General features: G+C 35.0%; 1 protein-coding gene across 2 annotated transcripts in view; it reads right to left on the reverse strand.

The window, feature by feature from the left end:
- Positions 1-16,443, reverse strand: part of GABRA3 (gamma-aminobutyric acid type A receptor subunit alpha3) — a 285,082-nt gene that overhangs the window by 42,509 nt on the left and 226,130 nt on the right. For both annotated transcript variants that reach the window (XM_006724811.4, NM_000808.4), the window contains exon 6: positions 16,021-16,103. In XM_006724811.4, the coding sequence (XP_006724874.1) occupies positions 16,021-16,103 (83 nt within the window). The remainder of the gene's footprint in view (positions 1-16,020; positions 16,104-16,443) is intronic.

Below are 16,443 nucleotides of genomic sequence, written 5' to 3' on the forward strand. Positions count from 1 at the left end.
TGCTCCCTCTTTTCATGTGACACGCTGGCTTGCTTTGCCTTTCACCATGAGTAAAAGCTTCCTGAGGTCCTTACAAAATGCAGATGCTGGCTCCATGCTTCTTGTACAGCCCCCCATAACCATGAACCAAATAAAACTCTTTTCTTTATAATTTACCTAGCTTCAGGTATTCCTTCACAGCAAAGCAAAACAGACTAACACAGAGGTACCTTGAATAAGTAAATGAGGCTAATTATAAGAAAAATAAGCTGGCAGAAAAGTAGTACAAATTCAATTAATTATGGGGTGAGCATATCAGAGAAAGCAAAAATTCAAACTAGTGATATTTTAAGTTAAAAAAGAAAAATTCCAAATTAAAATTACAATAATTGATTTTCTTTCATAACTTATTATCAGTTTGATATGCAAACAAGACACCTACCTGACACCTTTTCTTTTGCATCAGCATTAATGTCAAGGCTTGTATTTAGAATTCCAATGTCAAGTACAGAATTTGTATAGATTAACAGGGGCGTGAGTAAGGGAAATGGTCAGAAATGAGGTGGGGTTATTTAACTTTAGTCAGTATATTAAAGAAATGAGTTGATTCCTTCCCTGACATGGTTAACTCTTTCCACCGTGGATTTTATATCTAGGGTGAGTACTTGCCCTAACTCAGGCACCCAGGCTCATAAAGGGAAGCTGACCGCATACTGTATACCCTTTTCCTTCAAGTTTTGAGCTGCCTGTTGTTCAAGCCAGAGGGGAAGAGGGGTTCCTCCAGCTCATGGTGGCAACTACTATACCCCTAATATACTCTATTGAAACCTTCTACCACAAAGCAAATAATTTCTGGTGAATCTGCCAATAAACAAATATAAATGCTGGGTCCCTGCAAAACTTTGCAACATTGGATATACATTTCACAAGTCTGACATTAACAGCTATTCATGGGTACCAATTGTGATCTGCTTACATTACACTTTTTAAAACTTTTTCAATACACCTAAATAAGTCATTTCCTGCTTTGTTTGTAATGAGCAACATGCTAAAAATTTCTCCAATCACATCAAAATTCTCACTGACATCATGAACAAATATTCATAACTCTATGGTATTTTTTATATCTGTGCTCTCATAAGCTGCAAAGGAAAATATCACAGGAAGTTTAACTTTTCCACATAATTTGCCTTGTATATAGTCTCAGTCATTTCTTCAACACAACAACAACAAGATTTCTAGTTGGACACATAATTTCTGATACAATTAATAGACTTTTTTTTACAAGTTTGGTATCTATGAAATATTTTGATGCCTATAAAGGTTTGTTGCTGAAAGCATAACCACATTTTCTAGCAATAACATTTAGTGTATGCATTGAAGCGCAAAACCTAACTTTCAATGTTTTTTAATTAATATTTTCATTGTGCATTTTTTCTATATATAAATCATAGTTTTTTGTAATGAATAGCATAATTTTGATATATGAAGTTTTGTTTTCAACAAAAGCATACTTTGTGTGCTTAAAGATGTGAAAATATCCTTTATTTCTATAAGAAAATGTAAATTCTCCCATCTTGTTTAAAATATAGCCATCTCAGCATGTCTTAATTTTTTAAAAAAATTGATAGATATGGTACAAGAACGCTTTCATTTTCCTCATTTCTACTGGGAGCTCTTAATTCTCTTGTAAGTAAAACAAAAGTGCAAGTGAGATGATTACTGGCAACTGATACTATACTCCCTTTTCAGGGAGCAAGGTGAAAGTGATGGAGGTTATGAGGAAAGGGAAAGCATACCCTCATCTACAAGGGATGGTCACTATTTGGCCTCGATTGATTGAAGCCATGTAGGATTTGAGCCCAGTGTGTTGTCAGTCTTCTGATTTTGTGAAATAATAAGCAAATGTGGAATTTTATATGACATCTCACAAATTTAAAATCTTAGCAAATAATTTTAAAAGTTGTAAACTGTGTATGGATCAAACAAGTCACACCTGAAGCTCCCAATTTATAACCTATGGTCTAGAGACTTTCTCCTATAGATGGCTATGATTCCTTATAATTCCACCTTAAAAACAAAGCATCCTCTTCTACTTATGGGATATCTAGGGCTCTCAGCTTGATTTGTGGACCTTTAAACTATTATCACCAAGAAGAAAGGAAAATCTTCTCAGAACCCTTCTCATACCCTTACCTAAAATTTACACTGATATTATATGAGGCAGTCATAACACGGTCTGCGAAATGTGATTTCACAAGACCCTTGTGCTCTCATTTTTCCCCAGAGTCTTTTATCTTTAGTACATATGCTTGGGGTACCCCTACTCCTAAGCAGGGAACCATCTGTATAGGTCTTCTTACCTTTGCTATTCAGATGGTTGTAACACTTTTTGTTTAAAGATAGTGCCATGTTCTATCCAATCTACCCAAGATTTTGGCAGTGTAAAAACTAGAACAGGTTCGTTCAGGGAAAGAGTAAGCAATGGAAGATTTTGTTTCCACCCCTAAAAAAGAAAAGGAATTTCTTGCTGGATCTCTTAACTTAAGTTGAGTACCTGGCACAGACAACACTGAATATTCACCCTGAAAATCCAAGCAGACCCTAAGGCAGATGTGACGACAAACTGTGTAGCTATCGGTATCTCAGAAAATTCACTTCTCCAGACTAGCACCTTACTTCATGCAAAAAGCAGCGATTTAATTTCTTTGGCAATAATATATGGGAACAGAGGGATTTGAGGAGAAAAAAATACCCTCTTCTCATAAGATAGAGGGCAAAGCAGGAAAGACATGAATAAGTGGAAGACGAAGATGTGAATTTAAAAATAAAAACAAAAACAAGTTGAAAACTACTCAATTGAGTGTCTGCTTGGAGCCTGACCTGTACTGGTAAACAAAGTCTGTGAAGGCACAGTAGCCACCATCACATCAGGAAGCCCACAATTTACTTGGGGAGACAGAGAAAGCACAATGGCTGTAGTGCAATTTGGAATATAGGAGTATGCACACTAGTAAAATAAACACAAGTGTTAAGTAAAACCAGAGGTGAGCACTATTGCTCCTGCTCAGAGTGGGGTGTTACAGAAGGATTCTTAAAGTAAATGATACTCAGAAGATGAGGCCACCTTTAGTAGGTGAAAGAAGGACATTCCTAGCAAAAGAACAACATAGCCAAGGCAAAAAGTATGTGAGCACATGGAGCGGTAAAGGAATTAATAGTATCACTGGAGTCACAGGCCAGAAGGAAGCTTAATAAATAGCATAAAATATCCAAGTTAGTCTGGGTGCAGTGGCTTATGTTGTAATCCCAGCACCTTGGAAGGCCAATGCAGGAGGATTGCATGGGGCCAAGAGTTTGAGAACAACCTGGGCAACATAGAAGGAAACCGTCTCTGCAAAAAAAATTAAAAATTAGCTGGGCATGGTGGCACATGCCTGTAGCCCCAGCTGCTCAGGAGGCTGAGGCAGGAGAATCAATTAAGCCCAGGAGTTCAAGGCTACAGTGAGCTGTGATTGAACCACTGCACTCCAGCCCAGGCAATAGAGCAAGGCCTTTGTCTCAAAAAAAAAAAAAAAAAAAAAAAAAAAAAAAAAAAAAAAAAAAAAAATTCCAAATTGCCTACCCTAAGAACTAAGGGTTTTTGCAGTCCTGGATTTCTTGTTTTTATTATATAGTCCCCAGAAGAAACTTCTAATGGGAAAGTGGGAACCTCTGTTGGAATACGCACGTGTGTACATACATGTGTGTACACACGAGTTGTGGACATGCCTAAAGGAGAGAGATGACATGACCAGATATAAGCTTGGGAAGGATCACCCTAGCTGCCGTAAGGATGGCTGGTGGAAAAGAGTGAAACTGAAGCCAAGACAGTATTTAAAAGGTCATCACAATGCCTTTTGGTGTCAGTGACCCATAGGCATAATATACTAGACAGTGGGTTGAACTGAGTGGGACAGAGCGATTTCAGAAGTAGAAATGATTATAATTTTTGACTTTTCATGGTGCTTAAGAAAGGAAAAAGGACATTTTAAAAAGATTCTACATGATCCTAACATTGTAGCTTTTCCAAGTACATGGATAATGATGGAATTTATTCACCCACTGGGGAGCAGAATTCTTCCCAGTTAGACCTCCTTCTGCTTTCCTTCTTCCACGGATTTGGGCTCCTTTAATTCCTCAGCTTCTCTCCTATAAAACTGCCCCCTCATCTCAATTCCAATCATTCTATTTCCATAGAGGAGCTGGGGTAGGGTGGAGGGACTGGTTCCTGAAGAAAGGATATCTACCTGACAATTAGAACTTTTGCACTCGCTGAATGGGCCCCTCAATATATTTCATGAGCTATAATGGCAAAAGCAACTCCTTGTCTTTAGTTGCTTAGCAAAATGCCTCCTTCTGTTATCTGAGCCTTGGTATGTAACAGACCCCAGGAAAAAAGGAAGTAACAAACAATCTTGCCATGTTAGCACAAATGAGAAAGCATTTCTTTTGAAATATTGTCAGAAACCACTTGCTTAATTGATTTAATCAGTTACCCGTTCAACAAATATCAAGGCATCATATTAGATAGTGAAGATACAGCGATCATAAAACATCTGAGGCCTCATCACCTCATTGAGCTTACAGTCTAGTGAGAAAAGACTGACAATAAACAAGTAAATAAATAATATAGTAACAGAGTGATGCATGCTATGAAGAAAATAGAGTTACAGGGTGAGGAGGGGTGTCATTAGATACAGTGGTAAGAGAAGATCTCTCTGAGGGTGGTTTCTAATCTAAAACATTAAGAAATGAGAAGGAGTCAGTCATGCAAGAGCTTGATGGAAAACATTTCAGGCCAAAATAATAACAAAACAACTAAACCTCCGCAACCCCCCAAAACCAGCAAATGCAAAGTCTTCTACGTGGTAAAGAGTTCTAGGAACTGGCAGAAGGCCAATGTAATGGGGAAAGGGATATGATATAAGATTGAGGAGGTAGGTAACCAGAATACAGGATATAAACCAAGATAGAGATCACAAAGAGTTTTAGTGAAAGGAACTTAAGTTTGGTTTGGACATGGTAAAAATCCAAGGATTCTCCAGATTTCTCAGCACCATATGTTGAAGAGACTGTCCTTCCCTTAATGTGTATTTTGGTGCTTTTGTCAAAAATCAGTTGGCTGTAAATATGTAGGTTTATTTCTGTATTCTCTATTCCTTTTTTTTTATTTTTATAGATTTGGAGAGTACAAGTGCAGTTTTGTTAAACTGATATATTGTGTAGTGGACAAGTCTGAGCTTTTAGTGTACCCATTGCCCAAATACGAAACATTGCACCCTACAGGTATTTTTTCAATCTTCACCCCCTCATACCCTCTCACCTTTTGGAATCTCCAGTGTGTATTATTCCACTCTCTGTATCCATGTGTATCCATTATTTGGCTCCCACTTATAAGTGAGAATATGCGGTATTCGAGTTTATGAGCTATATCACTTAGGATAGTGGCCTCTAGTTCCATCTATGGTGCAGCAGACCATGATTTCATCCTTTTTATGGCTGAGTAGTATTCCATGGTGTCTGTGTATGTGTTTGTAAATATATATATAGCAATTTTCTTTATCCAGTCATCCACTGATGGACATTTAGGTTGATTCCATGACTTTGCTATTGTGAATAGTGCTGTGATAAACATACAATTGTAGGTGTCTTTTTATGTTCCATTGTTCTGTGTGTCAGTTTTTATGCCACTACCATGCTGTTTTGGTTACTATAGCTTCGTGGTATATTTTGAAGTCAGGTAGTGTGATGTCCCCAGCTTTAATCCTTTTGCTCAGTATGGTTTTGGAGATGTGGGGTCTTTTGTGGTTTCATATGAATTTTAGAATGTTTTTTCTATTTCAGGAAGCATGTCATTGGTGTTTTGATAGCAATCGTATTGAATGTGTAGATTGCTTTAGGTAGCATGAACATTTTAACAATATCAGTTCTTCCAGTCCATGAACACAAGACGTCTTTCTATTTATTTGTGTCTTCCTCTATTTTTCTAATCAATGTTTATAGTTTTCATTGTGGAGATCTTTTACCTCCTTGGTTAAATTTATTCCTAGAATTTTATTGTTTTGTAGCTATTGTAAATGGAATCACTTTCTTTTTTCAAATAGTTCACTATTGGCATATAGAAATGGTACTGACTTTTGTATGTGGATTTTGTATCCTTCCACGTTGCTTATTTTCTTAATTCTAACAAATTTTTGTTTAGTTCTTTAGGGATATATGTATACACACACACACACATATATATATACACACACATATATGTATGTGTGTATGGATATATATATATATATATTTTTTTATATGATTATGTCATCTGCAAACAGGGACAATTTGACTTCCTCCTTTCCAATTTGGATGCCTTTTATTTCTTTCTCTTGCCTAATTGCTCTGGCTAGGACTTCTAGTACCTCTAGGACTTCTCACCACTAGTTGTGAGAAGTGGTGAGACTGGGTATCCTTGCCTTGTTTCACAGTTTCAGATCTTAGAAAAGAGCTCTCAGCCTTTTCCATTCAGTATGATGTTTGCTGTAGGTTTGTCATATATGGCCTTTATTGTGTTGAGGTACATTCTTTTTCTATACCTAATTAGTTAAGAGCTTTCATCAGGAAGAGATGTTGAATATTATTTTCTTCATCTATTGAAATGACCGTGTTTTTTGTCCTTCATTTTGTTGATGTCATGTATCACATCTATTCATTTGTATGTTTTCAACCATTTTTGCATCCCTGGGATGAATCCCACTTGTCTTTTCAACATGGTGCTGAGAAAACTGCATGTCCACATGTACAAGAATGAGACTAAACCCTTATCTCTCACTATAAAAAATGGAATCAAAATGGATTAATGACTTAAATGTAAAACCCAATGCTATAAAATTACTAGAAGAAAATGTAGGGGAAATTCTCCATGCCATTAGTCATCTGGGCAAGGATCTTTTAGATAACAATACCAAAGCACAGGCATTAAAAGCAAAGTAGAGATATGGAATTTTATCAAACTAAAAATCTTCTGTAGAGTAAGTGAAACAATCAACAGAGTGAACAGAAAATACACAGAATGGGAAAAATATTTTCGAAGTATACATCTGATAAGGGGTTAATATCCAGTATATCTAAGGAACTCAAATAATATAAAAAAATCTGATTTTAAAAATGGGCAAAAGACCTTAATAGACTTCTCTCAAAAGAAGATATACAAATGGCCTCCAGGTATATAAAAAATGCCCAATATCGCTAATCATTACAGAGATGCAAATCAAAACCACAATTAGATATCATCTCACCCTGGTTAGAATGACTATTATCAAAAAGACAAAAGAGAACAAGTGCTGGAAAAGATGAGAAGAAAGGGGAACTCTTTCTTATACACTGTTGGTGAGAATGCAAATTGGTACTGCCAGTATGAAAAAAAGTATTGAGTTTCCTCAAAAAATTAAAAACCGAATTACCATAATATCCAGCAATTCCACTACTGGGTATACACCCAAAATAAATAAAGTGAATATGTTCAACAGATATCTATACTTCAATTACTATTTTAGCACTGTTCAAAACAGCCAAGATATGGAATCAATCCAAGTGTCCATCAATGAATGAATGAATAAGAAAATGTTATATAATATATAAACACACACACACACACACACACACACACACACACACACACACACACACACACAATGGAATGCTATTCAGCCATAAAAAGAGAATGAAATCCTATTATCTGTGGCAATGTGGATAAAATTGCAGGACATTATGTTAAATGAAGTGAGCAAGGCTCAGAAAGACAAATGTTGCATTGTATCATTCATATACATAATCTAAAATAGATATATCATAAAAGTAGAGAATAGAATGGCGGTTACCTGAGGCTGGGGAAGGAGAAGAGAGAGGGCCTGGAGAGAGCTTGGTTAATGGAGGGAGATTGATTAATGGGTACAAGGTACAGTTGGATAGAAGGAATAAGTTCTGGTGTGCTATTGTGCAGAAGACTGATTATATTTTTAAAATATTGTATGATATATTTCAAAATAGCCAGAAGAGAGGATTTTGAATGTTCTCATCACAAATACACGATAAATATTTAAGATAATGGAAATGTTAAATACCCTGATTTGATCATTACACAATATATATATTTATTGAAACATCTAATTGTACCCAAAAAGTATACACACTTATTTGTCAATTAAAACGAAAATAATTTTTAAAAAATTTAGGAGTTCTGATGAATCTGAAAGCTACAGCCTGAGGCTGGTATATATAAAAGCAAATGGAAACTGGTACTATATTGGTTTATAACTTAATCAAATAATTGCAATTATCAAAACTTTTATTATTCACAATGACAGGACAAGTTATAGCCACTAGTTACTGGCAAATTAAGAAAATTTTGGATTTCTAGTGCAGAGTATATATGTTTCCTCATGTATTGAGATGATCGTGTGGTTTTTGTCCATTTTATTAATATGTCATATTAGGTTGAATGGTTTTCAGTTGTTGAGCCAACTTTGTATTCCTGGGAAAAATCTCACTTAAAAATGATGTATAATCCATTTTATAAGTTGCTTGAATCCGTTGCTAGAGTTTCACTGAAGATTTTTGTGTCTATACTCATAAGAAATACTTGTCTATAAGAAATACTTGCCTATAGTTGTATTTTTTAGTTACCTTTGGTTTTGATATCAGGGTAACACTGGCCTCATAGAATGAATTAAGAAATGTTCTTTCCCCTTCTATATTTTGGAAGAATTATTTGTGAAAACCTGGTATTGATTGGTATCAAGTCTTCTTCAAGTGTTTTGTACAATTCAATGGTGAAGCCTTAGATCTAATGGTGGGCTTTTCTTTATGAGAAGTTATTAAATTACTAATGTAACCTATTTACTTAGTATAGGGTCAATGAAAACTTCTATTTCTCCTTCAGTCAGTTCCATCAGTTTGTATATTTCTATGACTTTTTTTCATTTCATCTAGGTTACCTAATTTGTTGGTGTACAGTTGCTCATAGTATTCCCATAAAATCCTGCTTATTTCTGTAAGGCAAGTATGATGTGCCTTCTTTCAGGCTTTTAGTAATGTGATTCTATTCTTTTATTTGCTTCGTCTGTCTGGTGAAAGGTTTATCAGTTTTGCTGATCTTTTCAAATAACTTTTAGATTTTTTTATTTTCTTTAATTTTTAAAATTCTTTATTTTATTTATTTTTACTCTAATATTTATTATTTTTTCCTTCTGCTTGCTTTGGATTTAGTTTGGTCTTCTTTTTCTAGTCTCTTAAGGTGGAAATTCAGGTTATTGATTTTAGATTTCTCTTTTAAATATAGGTTTTACAGTTATAAATTTCCCTCTAAGCACTGCTTTAAGCTGATGCATCCCATAAGTTTTGGTGTGTTATGTCATCATTTTCATTTGTTTCAAAATATTTTCTAATTCCCTTTGTGATTTTTTATTTGGATCATTGTCTGTTTAGGAGGGGAATGTGTTGTTCGATCTCAACATATTTGTAAATTTTGCGAACTTCCTTTTCTTACTGATTTCTAATTCTGGGTAAGAAAATGTACTTTGTATGGTTCCAATACTTTAAAATTTATTGAGTCTTATTGTATAACCTAATATATGGTCTACCTCAGAAAATGTTCCATGTGCACTTGAGAATAATGTTCAGTCTTATGTTGTTTGGTGGAACGCTCTATAGATGTTGGTTATGTCTAATTGGTTTATAGAATTGTTCAAATCTTGTATTTCTGTGTTGATCTGCCTAGATGTTCTATCCATGTATTGAAAGTGGAATACTGAAATCTCTAATTATTACTGTTGAATTGTCTTATTTTTCTCTTCAGTTCTATCAGTGTTGCTTCATGTATTTTGGGGCTCTGTGTTTAAGTGTGTATTTCTTTATAATTGTTATACTTTTTTCTGATGGATTGACCTTTTCATCATGACAAAATCTTCAAGGCTTCTACAGAGGAGGAAAGAAGAGGATGGGAATAGGGCTCCCTGGTTGTACTGAGAACTAATCATTTTTCTTGAATAACGCTCTTCAGAGTGTTAGGAGACTTTTGTTAATTTCCGGAGTTTGGAGAAAGTTTATTTTGACAATGTTTGAAAATTGTCTCATTGCTTTTATGGAGGAGTGGATTTTCAGAAGTTCTAACTCTGTCATTCCAGAATTGCTTCCTCACTAGAGGTTTTCTAAGATTAATTTTAACTGCCCATTTAGGAACTTAATAATTTAAATCACTCTCCTTCTTGATGTACTTTATTTGGCCTCCAGGACAACACGTTCCCTTTAGGTTTTCTCATACGTCACCTGTCTTCGCCTTCACGTTTATTAAATTATTCTCTTCTTTCTAGCTTCTAAATGTTATCATGTCTAAAGAAAAAGTCCTTCCTTGATTCTCTTCTCTTCTCTGTATATAGTCATTTCCATAGTGATCTCATCTAGTTGTATGGCTTTAAACATCATCTATGTGGATGACACCTAAATTAAATCTCCAATCCAGATCTCTTTTATGAACACCGAAGTTACATTCCAGATAATCAGCACCCAGGAGTATCATTTGCTTCCCTTTCCAATAACAACCCTCATCAAGGGTAACCACTATCCTGACTAGTGCTTCTATGTGGAAACTCCTTCCTGACATTGTGTTGAGAAAGATAGATATTTTTCTGAATATCAAATCCAGAGAAAAATACTTGAGAAATGAGCAAAACCAGAAAAAAGTATTATAATCATCTTGTAAGAATTAAAGCTTAACAATAGACATAGAGACTTTACTAATTTGAAGGAATCTATTGATGTTAAGTCAAAACCAAGAGCAGGAAACACTGTCACACTGAGTTAAAAGTTTTGAAATTCTCTGGTGTCAGGACAGAAGTACATAGGATTAAAGTGGTCACAACCTGATCAGTTGATTTTGCTTATTATGTGTGTTAATGGCCCTCTATGCTGCTGATGGTAATTCTTGAAAATTTAATATTAGTAAGTCTATATGCATAAGTATACTATACACATAGTATTTTATATGTATAGTATACTACACACACAGTATTCTAAATGCATAAAGCACTATATACTATACACAAACCCTGAGAGTGTTCTTCTAATACATAACAAGTTTAAGAAGCAAAATCAATCCTTAAACTGGCAATTTGGATGAGTGATTCTGTGTAGTGCTGTTTACTTTATTAAGAAATTCAAATGTTGTTATTCAAATACTATCAGTTTGCTATCATTTTCCAGTGTCTGAGTAATCTTTCCATATATTACCACTCTTTCTGAATACTTCTAAAGTTACTATTAATATTTTTATTTATTAAAAGTTAGATATCCATGATTATGGATAAAGAGCGTTAAGAAGTTTGAAAGTGTTTTAAGAATAACATTGAATTTATAAAATACCTAGGAATTCCAACTTCTTGTTCCTGAATCCCATTGCTTAATCTGTCAGGAATCTGGAAATACAACCAACGGCAATGATGGATAAAATATTAAAGACTTTTAACAGCACATATTAGTTTTGCCTGTTTGTATATATAGCATAAATAGAATCAGATTCTATATACACTTATGTGTTTGGCTTTTGCTCAGCATTGTGGCTGTACCTCATCCATGTTGTTGAGTGTAATATAATTGTCATTGCTGTATAGTATTTCATTGCGTGACTATGCTACAGCTTTTCAATCCATTCTGATGGACATTAAGGTAGTTCCCAGTGGAGTTTATTACAATGAGCTCTGCTATGGACATTCTTTATATGCCTTTTGGTATACATAAACAATGATGCCTGTTTGGAACTATACTCAGGACTAGAGATGCAAAGTTGTATGATATGCACATGTATAGCACTATTAAATAGCACCAAACAATTTTCCAAAACCTTGGTACAAACGTAGATTCTTATCAGTAGCGCATGAGAGTCCAGATTTGCTCAACATCCTCACCAAGAAGTGGTATTTTCTGTCTTTTTTATGTTAGTCATTCTAATGGGTGTGTACTGGTAGCCTTTGGATTTTATTTTGCATTTCCCTGCTGACTAATGCAATCAGTCACTGTGTGTGTGTGTGTCTGTCTGTGCCTGTGTGCATGTGCATGTGCGTGTGTGTGCCTGTGTGTGTGTGTGTTTCTGAGCTTGGGAAACTGTTTTAACAAGTGCCTATTAAAGACTTTGGCCTTTTTTCTATCGAGGTTTCAGATACTTTTTATATAGATTTGCAGGATGTCTTATGCTTTTGAGTCCTTTGTTAGGCATATGCAATGCAAATACTTTCTCCCTCTCTGTGGCTTCTACTCACTCTCTTAATGATCTTCTAATAAAGAAAATTTCTTAATTTTTAATATATTTTAAGTCATTCTATTTTACCTTTATGGTTAATGTTAGTCTATGTCCTGTGTAAGCAGTCTCTACCTTTTCCAAGATCATGGAGATACTCTCTTATGCTTTCTTCTATTAATAAAAGCTGGATTGTTTTATCTTTCACTCTTTCACATTTAGATGTGGAAACCATCTGGAATTTATTTTTGTTTATCATGTGATGTAAGAGTCAAGATGAATCTCTCTCTCTGTCTCTCTCTCTCTCGTTCTCTCTCTCTCTTCTATTCTGTTCCATGAGTATATTTGTCTACTTTGCAACAATAATACCTTTTCTAAATTACTGTAACTTCAAAATACCTCTAGATATCTGATATCAGATTAGATTTTAATGTAAATTTCCCAGCTTTATGATTCTTTAAGATCTCCTTAACTATTCTTGTTACTTTAAATATTTCCATATAAACTTTAGAATAAGCATTTTTTCATTCTATTTATGCTGCTTCATGTTTATATGATTTCTTGAGTATTTGGGCTGATAATTTTCATCAGTTTTAAAGTGTCTGGCCTTTACTTAATTATTGCTTTTGCTCCTTTATCTGCCTGTTTATCCTCTGCAAATTACACATTGCAATTTCTTTTATTAACTTTTATTTTAAGTTCAGGGGTACATATGCAGGATGTGCAGGTCTGTTACATAGGTAAACCTGTGTCATGGGGGTTTCCTGTACAGATTATTTCATCACCCAGGTATTAAGATTAGTACCCATTAGTTATTTTTCCTGATCTTCTGTCTCCTCCCACCCTCCAAAAACCCCAGTGTGTGGTGTTCCCCTCTGTGTGTCCATGTGTTCTCATCATTTAGCGCCTGCTTATAAGTGAGAACTTGTGGTATTTGGTTTTCTGTTCGTGTGTTAGCTTGCTAAGGATAATGGCCTCCAGCTCCATGCATGTCCCTGCAAAGGACAAGATCTCGTTCTTTTTTGGTGGCTGCAGAATATTCCATGGTGTATATGTACTATATTTTCTTTATTCAGTCTATTATTGATGGGCATTTAGGTTGATTCCATGTCTTTGCTATTGTGAGTAGTGCTGCGATGAACATACGTGTGCATGTGTCTTTATAATAGGATGATTTATATTCCCTTACTATGACCCACACGCTTTTTACTTGTTTGTGTATTTATCTTTCTATCCTTCAGTTCTGCTTTTTTCTATTTATCAATTTTTCAGTCATCTGATCCTGCCTTCTGCTTGTCAAATCTATCCATTGAATTCGAATTTAAGATATTGTACTTCCCTGTAATTCTAATTTATTCTTCTTTATAGGTTCCAATTTTCTGTTAAAATTATAGGTATTTGATCTGCTTTAGTAATCACTTCCTTTTTTTTTCTTGAATATATTAGCCATAGCATTCTAAAGTCCTTGTCTACAAACTCTGACGTCTAAATCACCTGTAGGTCTGTTTATATATTTTGGTTTTTGGCATTGGTTTTAAAACTTGGTTTTAGGTCTCATGGGCCTGCCTATTCATATGATTATTGATTTTTCATTGAATTCCATACATTGTGTATAAAACTGTAGTATTTTCAAAGAGAAGTATCTTTTCCACCGTAGAGTCTTCATTATTTACTTTGCTATACAGAAAGTATGGGAGAATTATCACCTTAATCTCATAACGGACTTGTGCTGGGTTATAGTTTTGACTAATCTAGTCTGTCTCTGCTATTGCCTTGTTCCTAGGATATAGCTCTCTAGGATTTTAAACTAGTAGTCTAGCATGTCTTTTTTTTTTTTAGTACTGGAAGACTGCAGAAAAGGAAGCTCTGCTTTTCAACTTTTTTCATATTAGCTTTTGTCCTCATGCTCTGTGCAAATTCAAAATTCATCAATTATATATTGAGAGGGAGATCAGCCATTAATTTGAGATGTTTCAGATATTTCCCTTGTGTCACCCTAGCCCTGTGTGATCATCAAATCATTGCTGTTTCTTCTCATCCACCAGTATGAGCCCTATGCCCAGCAAGCTGCAATCCAAGGCCAGAACTGGCAAATGCCCCCAGAGTTGAAAAAGCTGTAGATCACAACTTCATCTATGAGAGGCTCTCCCCTTTCTCCAGAATTTTAGACACTTCAATCTTCACTGAGCTTTATTGTTTCTATGGTTCTAGGTTTTATAGTTGTTAATGAAGGGAACACTATTCACCAATAAACAACTCTGTCCTACCCAGAAATATTGCAGTCACCTCCTACTTGGGCTCCACATGGTTTGATCCCTCTTCTACTTATATCATTTTAAAAATTCCTAGTAATTATTTTAAGACATAAGTCAGATAATGCCATTCTTTTGTCTAAAATATTCTAATTGTTCTTCATTTTTCCTTAGAATATAATTCAAAGACCTTTAATGGCCTATAAGACTTTAGATTACCTGGCCCCCACTTTGATCTCATCCTTTTCTCCTGCTCTCCCCTTCCTCACTCTGGCCAGCCACACTGGCTGAACAAGTCACCTATTTTTCAGACATACGGTATTTTTCCTGGTTGTTCCTTCTACTGAGAGCTCTATTTCCATATATATATATATATGCATTGATAAGCTCTCTATTTTCTTAATATTTCTGCTTGAATGTTCCTTTTAAATAATTAGGGTGACACTAATCACCCTACTTTCAATTTCAGTGGTAACACAAATCCTCCACCTAGGCATGGATGATTCCCCTAATTCTGCAGTACTTTTATGTTTTCCCATGTTGCTTCTCATATTACAACATGCCTTATGCTTTACCCTTTAATCCATTATTTTATCTTTCACTGCCACTCGTCTCTCTATAATATAGCTCCAAAAGAGCAAGGCTTTTGTTTTATTCACGGATGCATTCCAAGCTCCTAGAATAGAACCTGGCACACAGAATACAATCTGTAAAGATCTGAAAAACTAATGATTGAGGAAACATGTTGCACTTAATTATTTGGGTCTTTTCAAATGCACTTTCTGTTTCAAAACACAGCTAAATTAATTTTGACATGATCAACACAGATTTTGGTATATTACTCTGATGACTCTCTATGTGAAACTCACTCTGAAATTTTTCAGTTCAAAAACTCACTCAAATTCTATTCAATGTTGATTTTTCTAATTCATTTGAAAATGGACTATATATTTACTACTTTTTCTGTAAAATGTACAGCTACTGGAAAAGGTAATACTTTCAAAAGTGAGCAAATCTTCAGAGTCTCTTCCTGCCTATCACACACTGTTAAGAATTGGATAGAAGTATATGAAGATGCAGGTAGAATACGCACTTCAAAAAATCTAACCACATTCTGTTTGACATATCTTGTCCTTAGGTAGCTGTGACTGTATTTTATATCACTTCTGTCTTGCTCTGTCCTTTGGGCAATTTAGAAAACAGACATTAATGTTTCAATCTAATGACAGAGAAATTAGTCTGAAATAGCAAAATAAAGTTTACTTCTTAGAAAGAAAATTCTTGTTAAAGGCTAAGTCTCCTCCCCCTGATTAGTTAGTACTACTCAACCCCACTCTCTGACCCACCCTGATACCAGCCCGGATTAAAGGCCTCAGCTTTAGAAACTTGCAGTGGACAGAATATAATATGTTAAGTTTCTTTTGGAAGATCAGGCAAAAAAAAAAGACAGAGAGAGAGAGAGAAAATACATACAGCTTCCAAACTTCAGTGGGCAGGCATGCACATCCATGGGAAAATCTTCCAAATGCATGGGACACTCAGCATGAATTGTTAACCTAAAAGAAAGGCAAACAGAAAATGAAATTAAGCTAAAATAAATGTTATTAAACACAGGGCTGCATTCCCACTCAGTTCCTAAGAATAACGAGATTTTTGTTTGTTTAAGTTCACTGAGATTCAAGTCTTTATGAACACAAAGGATGGATAAAATGAACTAGATAGCCTCTCAAAGAGGCATTAAGTACTCATATTTTTGGATCATATCATCATATCTGAATCCCATCCTGTCACCTTTGAAAAACAGATATAACTTTTCTGCCCTAACTGTACTTCCTTAGACACCCCCCCCAAGAAGCCTGGAAACACCAGGTTCTGACTCATTCACTTCTGATTGCA

This window comes from Homo sapiens, chromosome X, assembly GCF_000001405.40.
Source record: "Homo sapiens chromosome X, GRCh38.p14 Primary Assembly".
NCBI classification, from domain to species: Eukaryota; Metazoa; Chordata; class Mammalia; order Primates; family Hominidae; genus Homo; species Homo sapiens.